The 9,744-nt window shown below is 36.2% G+C and overlaps 1 protein-coding gene across 3 annotated transcripts in view, besides 1 other annotated feature; it reads right to left on the bottom strand.

Moving 5' to 3' along the window:
• Positions 5,127-5,176: a silencer, noted in NCBI's record as "silent region_14135". NCBI's record gives its function as "represses an Ori minimal core promoter by ATAC-STARR-seq in GM12878 lymphoblastoid cells {active_cell/tissue: GM12878}" and the evidence as "EXISTENCE:reporter gene assay evidence [ECO:0000049][PMID:35858748]".
• KAT2B (lysine acetyltransferase 2B) overlaps positions 5,868-9,744 on the bottom strand; it is a 113,959-nt gene continuing 110,082 nt past the window's right edge. For all 3 annotated transcript variants that reach the window (XM_047449147.1, NM_003884.5, XM_005265528.5), the window contains one exon: positions 5,868-7,940. In XM_047449147.1, the coding sequence (XP_047305103.1) occupies positions 7,747-7,940 (194 nt within the window). In that variant the 3' untranslated portion in view covers positions 5,868-7,746. The remainder of the gene's footprint in view (positions 7,941-9,744) is intronic.

Raw genomic sequence — 9,744 nt, 5'->3', positions numbered from 1 at the left:
GGACAAGGAACCAGGGGAGTACCCTGGAAAAGTATATTAAAGCTACATTTGCTTAAAAAGTATGATTTTTATTTAATTTGTATTTTTGTTGAAGCCACCCTTGGTCCCACCACTGCAGGCTCTACCTTTCATTATAGCACTCAAGATACCTGTAATTAGTATTCAATGTCTGACCTCTCCATGAAAATATAATTGCTACTTTGATCATTTTGTAACTACACACACTCCAAGTTTCAGTAGCCCTCTTGGGCCATTGTTCTAGGCCCTTGGGCCTAGGCCCCTGGCCCAGAAGGCCAGGCTCCTTAGCAGGGTGTTTCATGACTCTTTCCAACCTGATCCCACAACACATCATCAACTCTCACCCTGACCTGAAATTAATCTCTCATCTCTTAATTCACTGATGTGACATTTCTTCTCCAATTGACTTTTCTTTTCCAGTAATAGAATCTTAGCATAAAATCTTTATCATTTTAAACATAGGAGATGCTTAATAAATGTGGAATAGGAATTTGCAGGGAAATGTGAAGGAATAGGAACTATGGTTGGTAGCCTCAATATCCAGATACTTCATGCTGCAACAAACTAGGACCATCATTCTTTAAATGTAGCTGTAGCATTGCATAGCACTGAAGAACACTGACTCTGGATCCAGAATCCCTGCATTTGCCTTTTTGGGAAAATTCCCTCTCTGTATCTCAGTATTTTCATTGAATTTTGTAAGGATTCAATGAGTTAGTACATATAAAATGCTTAGAAGAGTGCTTAACACTTACTAAGTACTCAATAAGTAAATTGTTGTAAGGATTCAGTGAGTTAGTACATATCAAATGCTTAGAAGAGTGCTTAACACTTACTAAGTGCTCGATAAGTGGTAGATTCCTGAGGAAATTACTTGGTTATGGGAATCTATGCAGCATCCACAGATTGACTATCTGCACTAAATTATTTCTGCTCATTCAAACCTACTTAGTACCAGTACAAATAAAACAATAGTCATATTAACAATACTTCAATACTGATTTAGGTGAAAAGCCTTTTTTAAATTTATAGTGTTAAGTTAAAATTTTTATATAGTGTTTTACATTCACTTGAGACCATCTTCACATACATTAAACACATCCTCACTATAGCTTTGAGCAGAAAAGCATGTGTCTATACTCAGGAGGCTGAGGCAGGAGAATGGCGTGGACCCGGGAAGTGGAGCTTGCAGTGAGCCGAGATCGCGCCACTGCACTCCAGTCTGGGCGACAGAGTGAGACTCTGTCAAAAAAAAAAAAGTGTCTGATGAGAAAAGACTCAAGATAATAAATATGGTGTTTCATCATAAAGGGTGTTGGGAAGTAGCATTTGTGCAAGAAGATACATGTAATAAGTAAAACAGAGAGTAATTAAAATTTATTCCAGCTTGGTATTATAGAAAAGGTGGGAAATGTAGCCTGGATCGGGATTGTTAGGTGAGTTCACATACACCTGCATGATCACACTCGAGTGATTTTGATCTTTAGCATCTTGCAAATTGGTATCCAGCATCATAATGGAAAGTTTCATCCTCTCCCTCATCCTGTTCAATATTTTTTTCAATAACATGAATATGAGAAAACATATAATTGACAAATTCGTAATTTATAAATGTAAATCTTAGAAGGAATAGGTAACAGTAAATATTGGAACTGGAATAAAAAATGCCTCACAGGTTAATACAAGGGTAGGGGGAACGTCCTATAAAATTAAGCCCACATCTACTTCTTGACCTAACAATTTCACTATTTGGTATTCACATAAGAGAAATGAAAGCATATGTTTACAAAAAGACCTACAAAAAAAATGTTTATAGCAGGCTTATTGTAAGACCCAAACGTAGAAACTACCCAAATGTCCACTAAACTTGAGAAGATAAACAAATCGTGGAATATTACAATAGTATACTCTTCAGCAATAAAAAGGAATGAACTTCTGATACATATTACAATGTGGATGAGCCAGACCCCAGGAAGTACAAACTGTGACCCCATTTATATGAAATCAAGTAACACAAAACGAATCTATGGTGACAAAAATCAGAAGTGGTTTTCTGGAGACAGGGAAGGAGAATTGACCTGAAAGGGGCACGAGGGAACTTTTCTTAGGTGATAAGAATGTCCTGTCTTTAGGGTCGTGATTATACTGGTGTAGACAATTGCCAAAAGTCATCAAACTTAGCACCTAAGACCTATGCTTTTTAATAGAGACAGGGTCTCACAATGTTTGGCCAGGCTGGTCTCAAACTCCTGGGCTCAAGCGATCCTCCTGCCTTGGCCTCCCAAAGTACTGGGATTATAGGCATGACCCACCACACCTGGCCTGACTGGTGCATTTTCTTGTATGTTAACTATACCTCAATTTTTAAAAATGTTTTTCGTTTTGAGATGGTGTTTCGCTCTTGTTGCCCAGGCTGGAGTGCAATGACGCAATCTCAGCTCACTGCAACCTCCACCTCCCAGTTTCAAGTGATTCTCCTGCCTCAGCCTCCCAAGTAGCTGGGATTACAGGCATGCGCCACCATGCCCGACTAATTTTGTATTTTCAGTAGAGACAGGGTTTCATCATGTTGGTCAGGCTGGTCTCAAACTCCTGACCTCAGGTGATCCACCTGCCTCGGCATCCCAAAGTGCTGGGATTACAGGCATGAGCGACTGTGCCCAGCCTAAAAATGTAGACAGGATCTTGAGTTGTGCACATAGCTACAACTGTACAAGTATGCTTGGGTGTGTTGAGGGATAGGAACAGTGCTGGCACACTAACTTAATAGTACTCTGTGGGAAACTTGAATTAGAGCTTGATCATAAACAGCTGACTTCAACCCAACCTACGGGCTTTCTTATAAAGCTTTGCCTGTCCCACTGATGGGCAGTACTATTGCATAAAAATGCAAATTTCCCATTCACAGATGTTTTTAAGTAGAAACTAGATGTCCATCTGTTAACAGCAGAAGATGGCAGGTTGACAGAGCAAAGATTTTTTTTTTTTTTTTTTTTTTTTTTGAGACAGTCTCGCTGTTACCCAAGCTGGAGTGCAGTGGTACAATCAAGGCTCACATAGCCTTGACCTCCTAGGCTAAGGTAATCCTCCCACCCCTCAACTTCCCAAGTAGCTGGGACCACCACTGTGCACCACCACACTCGGCTAAATGTTTTCTGTTTGTTTTTTTGATTGATAGAGATACGGTCTCACTACGTTGCCCAGGCTAGTGAGAGCAAAGATTCTTAAACTGGGGTTCACCAATGAACTTCAGGAGGGTCCAAGGACCAAGTGAACTGATATGCAGAAAGTGCACACATGTAAACATGTGCATTATTTTCAGAAGGTCCTTAGCCTCCAAGTTCTCCAGGATTTCTTTTAAAGAACTTCAAACCTAGATAAACTGAGACTGGTAACCCTTGGTTCAGCTCATAAAATTTAATACACATACCCAGAGTCATGTCAAATGAAGATCTTTGGACAACAATAGCCTGTGTATACTATGGTGGTCCCATAAGATTATAATACCATATTTTTACTGCACCTTTTCTATGTTTAGATACGTTTAGATACACAAATACTTACCATTGTGTTACAGTTGCCTACAGTATTCAGTACAGTAAAATGCTATACAGGTTTCTAGCCTAAGAGCCATAGGCCATACTATGGAGCTTCAGGACTGTGTAAGTACACTCTAGGATGCTCACACACCAACAAAATCACCTAACATTGCATCTCAGAAGGTATCCCCATCGTTAAGTGGTACATAACTGTATATAAATGTATATACATGTATATAAATACACACACACAAATTACACGTATCATTTCTCATCTTTTTCAACTCCTGATCCTGTGAAAGTTGTCGGACTTCCCAATAAGAAGAGGGAGCAGGAAGCTTGACTTTTAATTTTTCTCTGCTTTGTTGAAATAATACTGCTTTTTAATAAACCCAAAGAAAATCTCTAGCTTTGTCATTGTTAGCTTCCTTTTTCCACAAGTAAAGATGTTCCCATAAATAAATATATAAATATATATATTTGTATATTTATGTATTTATATATATATGAATTTACATATTTATATATAAATACATAAATATATACATAAATACATTAAAGAGGACCTTTCATAATGCTTATGGTTGTTTCCTCACTTCCTTATAGCATCTTTTTTTTACTTTGTTGAAGCTCTTCCTCCAGAGTATACCTGGAAATCTTTCATTTGCTCTTTTTGTCTCTTTAAATTCATTTTCAGCTCTTTACCTGAGACATTAGTAACATTGTTTTCATCCTGTCAATCTTCATCATCACTTATTGATAGCACTGATACACCCAAAGGAGAAAGTAAATACCACTTTAATACCAGCAGCTTTAAGACTCAGAACCATCTATTTCAGTCCCTGCCACCACCTTCCCTGTCCACCCTCCACTACCCCCTACACAGATACCTTTTTTCTGCCAGGAAAAAATGTCTGAATGGTCAAGAATTGTAAACCTATATTTCAACAGATGAAAAAAGTATCAACCTAATTACTACCTCTTAAGTAAGAACTTGCAACCATTTCTGACCTTTGATATTCCAGAATAGCTGATTGCTTTTCTTTGGCATTTTCACTTTGCTAAGAGGAGAATGCTAGTTAAGGGATAGAGCAGAATAGCTCTAACGACAAGAGCTGCCACCAGTTACCCTTCCTTGTGCGGCACTTAGAATCCTTTTAAATAAACACTGAGGGTTAGTCTAAAGAATATTAGCTTAAAGGGGTGACAAATAATTAACTGGTCCACAGTACCTCAGTCTGATCTTGTTTCTACTTCTTAGTTTCTGAAAATATAAATTGTTCGTCCAGGTAAAATGAAAACCTCAAAGTCTCCCTCTCACCATTTGCTTCTAATAAATATGACCAATTTTTAATTATTGATTGAAGTAGACTTATTCTCCATTACAGAAGTTTTCTTCCTTGAAAGAGGACATACGTCATCTCCTGGCTTCCTTCTGTCTCCTCATTCATTCTTCCCCTGGGAGGGACTTGCCTAATTAAGGAGTTAAGTAAGAACATACTTACCATAGATTATGGACACAGGTTGACATATCCCGCTGTCACCTGGGCCTCTTCAGCATCGGCCTGCCTTGAGAGGGCACCACTGCTCTTGGCCTGCACTAAGCTTAATGGGAAAGTCCCTGCCCCATTAGTCTGGGACGGAGCAGCTTGTCAATACATTCTGGGGTACAGAACAGTGGTACAGAGCAGCTGGTCAATCACATTCTGGGTTTCAGCCTTAGAAAGCTCATTTTCCACAGATAAAAGGAAGCCACATTCTCCAATATCCATTTTACTAGTATTAAAGGTAATACTTTGGCCATCATATGCCTTTTTTTTTTTTTTTTAACTTCTCAGTTGGTTTAGATTTCAGTAGGGAAGAGGGGTTCTCTTGGTTGGGTCCTCTCAAACCCCAAAAGGATATAGTATTCTTTCCTACAGACATCATTTTGAATCACATTAGAAGCTCATATGGGAGATGTTTAAAAATCGGCTGTATTTTTCTCTCATCATATATATTTCACAGATGCAAAGTATAAAAACAAAAATCTTTTAATTTCTAAACCAACAACACTCTTCTTTCAATGAATCTTTTTTGTTATTGTTTAGCGGGTGAGTGGGTAAGATGCAGTGGATAACTCAAAAGACAGAGTAAGTGTCTCTCCTGAAAATCTCTTACTGATGACCTATGGATTTTTTATGAAACCTCCCCCAAATGCAACAGAATGCTTAAGATCTAAGGTTTAAGGATTCAATTGATGGTTATCAACCAGATCATAATTTGTTCTGTTAACCTCAGCCTACTGAATGAATAAAACACACCACAAGATTGGAAGCTTTTTAAAATATAATTTAAAACTATTTTGTACCAGTACAATATATTAATTTTACAAATGTAAAATTTTTATCAGCTGTTAAAGCATTTGCAAAAACCACACATTCTACTTCAGCTTTATTGCACAATATCTATAAGAAAATATTAATTTTTAAATTAGAAAACATAAAAATGCTTTCAATATAGAAGAGACAATCTGATTTTAAAGACAATACTCTATAAGAATGTCTACTCAGAAAATAACAAACTTTCACAGGATACCAGCTGGACAGATGCTTCAGCAGATCCGGTACAAAGCACTGTTTAAAACCAGTCCAAGATACTTAATCCAAACTGTATCATGATTCTTCATTAGAAATCTAGACACCACTCATGGTGGTTTCTTACACTTTAAAAAGTTGAGGCATTTTCAGTGTGAGCATTCTGAATATCTCTTACATATCAAAAACAATACTTCCAACTCAATAGCCATTTGCAGGGTTCTTTTTCCTTCATGCAGATTATCACTGGCAACTGTTTTTAATGACTATTCATGACCATTTTATTTATGCTGATAGAAAACATCAAGTTAAATACGCTTTTAAAACTTTGTCCTTTACAAAAATCAGTGTATAAATTTGCATCATAAAAATTAGTGTTGAGACCATCAAGATGGCCTTCATTTATATGGTTGTATATTAGTTGGTTTTCCCAGAGTTGGGAATGGCAGATGTCTCACTTTTCTATGTAGTGTAATCAGGAAATAAATCCAAGCACTAAACTGGAATCCCAAGACAGATTAATAAGGTTGCATGATGGATTTTAGGGGGTTATGACCCTGGACGCATATACTAATGTGGGTGTTAAAATACTGACAGCAAACCCTGGTGGGAATTTAATTTACCTCAGACAATAAACATTATCTGGAGAGACATAAAGGAAAATGTTCATTTGCATATTATCAGCGTGGCTGTGTGTATCATAGAAAAGAAAAAGAACCTTTATTAGAACGAGGATTCACCAGATTGATACATATATAGACCATACATCTTTTCCTATTAAAGCATGTTGATTCAATCTCATGTGTTTTCAAGTTTATGCCTTTGTGGGCAGGGAAATTATCTTTTGGAACTTATGGCCTGCATAAGCAAAGTCAAATATGATATTACACATTTGTGTAGAGAAAATAATTATTAAAATAGTGGTTATGTACTAACAAGTTTGTTGTAAGTAGACAGAATTATCAAAAACCTAGATGCTTATTTTAAAAGTTTGCATTATTTAGAATTTCTTCCTTAGGAACCAAAGCAGTTGCTTTCCTGGAACTGCATTTTTCAGAACTGCTCAAAGCACCTCATCTAGATGAGTGTTTTAAAAAATATATATAAAAAGTCTATAAAGAGACTTCAAACATCACATATTTCACCTCTTACAGGCTTTTTTAAAATCATGTATCCCTTCCTTAAAGTCCTTCAGAATAAAATAAAAGTAAACTCTCACATTCCATTAGAAAAAAATGGAAACATTCATTCATGGTCTGAAAATGTTATGGATTTCCCCAAATTTTGCTACTGTGTGCAATTTCCTCACACACAGGTTTTGAGGAAACCCCTAATCATCTATCATGAAATAGCTAATGGACATGCCATAGAAAATTTACCTTAATAGTAGTAAATAGATTAAAATCTATTCCATAAAATAAAAATGTCCTATGACTTCAATTTAAATACATATCTGAAAAGCTAAAAGGAGGTTTTTTGTTTTTTCAAAAGTGCTAATTATTACATTTACAAGTCTCTTCAATACATCATGTCCAATTCTTTGTAAAAAACTAAACCACCTTGCTTTAGGCACACTGCTTGGTGAGTTTCTAAGAAGCAGAGGGGAAAAAAAATCACTTGTCAATTAATCCAGCTTCCTTAATTTTACTGAAGAAGAATTTCTCCAGGATATTGGCACATTTGTAGTATTCACTCTCAGGGGGGTTGTACTCTTTGCAATTGGTAAAGACTCGCTGTAAGTCTGCCATGAATAATTTCTTAGACACGTAGTACCTATTCTTGAGGCGTTCACTCATGGTTTTCAGATCTGCACAGGAAAAAAAAATATTAGCAATCTTTGACTCCCTTTAAACACCAGCTGACAAAACTGGGACTGGGAAAGGAATCTATGTTGTTGGTTTGATTACATTTTTATCATCCCAATGCTTTTATTTAAGAGAAATTCTTATGACCAAGGAAAACAGTTCTTAAATCTTAAGTTCATTCTTTTGTGGGTTTTTTAAAAATGTAAAATCACAGCCATTTTAGCATTAAAGGGACCATTATTAGTCATCTGGTTCAATCCCCTATTCAGCACAAGGAAGCTAAGTAGATTAGCAACAATAAGTATGATGAACTGACTACTGTTAGCTATTCAGTCAGAATTATACAGAAGAGGCTCTATCTATATGGAGTAGAGCAGGTGGAACGTTTGTATTCAATCATTTAATTACTTAAAACAATCAGACTGCATTTGTTTCACTAAACTCACAGTTGTTTTGGTGTCATATAGAGAAACTGATAATAAATACATCTGTGAACACACCAGTGCCCTTGCATGTAAAATGATTCAAATGAATTTGCTTCAAGCTCCATCAATGAAATAAGAATAACAAACTTCATTTAATAATCTATTTTCTAAAGCAAGTAAGCCTTGTGAGACTATTGCAAAGAATATTTCCCAATATAGCTACTTGCTTTAAATTGTAGTATTTTACAGGTGAAAACAGTACTCCATCTAAACTGATAAAACTAAAGTAGGGTTTCTTCAATCCTCACTGTCAGGACTAATTTAAGGAATTCTATGCAGATTAGAATAGACGCTAACATTTGTCTATTTATGGTTCCCTGGTTGTCTTGAAGTCTGGCTTTATTGTTAAAAGCTATAATTGTATTAACTATGTGTGGAAAAATAAGTCAAATGGGAAAAAAAAAACCCCACTTCTGACTACCAATATCCCAAATTATAAGTATGTTATAAAATTTCCAGGGGGAAAGAAACCTATAACCAAATACATTGGGATCATCATTTAATAAGGTAAGTAAATGTACGTACAATATCCCCAAATGGGAAGGAATTCATTTGCATCAATATCCTAAATCCACCACAAAAGCATCAAAGAAGAAATGGAAAAAAGCTGCTTCTGCCTATCTCTTGAATAAAGCCTATCTTGGTTAGAGTGTATGTCATCACATCTGTAAATTCAACTTTCAACTTTTCTTTCTTCTCTAAAACAGTTTGGAGAGAGATAAAAATCTAAAAGCGCTAAGAAACACAAAGACTCATCAAATCTCACACTAAATGTCCCATCCAAGTGTGACTGAACAGATCAAAATGTTCTCTCATTTAAAGAAGAAAAAAACAATGAAATTGGCCCTAAGTAAAAGTAGATGTTTACATTCCTTTCACTTTTCCACCTAAATGTCTACCACTTAAGATATGCTGCCCAATATAATATGTATAATGTTTTAAAAGGAAGAAACATGTACCCCCCAAAAAGGGGGAGGGGGAGTAAAAGGATGACACGACACAAAGAAGTTTGTCCAAAAGCTTTTCGAACTTTTTTAGGAGATGGGTAAGAAAAGATGGAGAGAGCCTAAAATGCAGCAGAAACAAAGCAAGAATTATGGCGGTGTCTGGACTTTTCTGAATAACTATAACCAATTCTGAATACTTCCTTTCTATTCTAAAGCTATAGATAGCATTCTTCTTCCTCTGGCCTTCGTAGAGTTTTTTCAATTGACAAAATGAGGTGGGTTAAAAAAGGTGACTAAATATTGGTGGTACCAAATATAGAGACACCATTAAATTATTCAGTTTTCATGTCCTTTCCCCTTAACTTGGGAATTCT

The sequence above is a fragment of the Homo sapiens genome, chromosome 3 (genome assembly GCF_000001405.40).
Source record: "Homo sapiens chromosome 3, GRCh38.p14 Primary Assembly".
Taxonomy (NCBI): Eukaryota; Metazoa; Chordata; class Mammalia; order Primates; family Hominidae; genus Homo; species Homo sapiens.
This window is presented reverse-complemented; position numbering and strand designations above follow the sequence as displayed.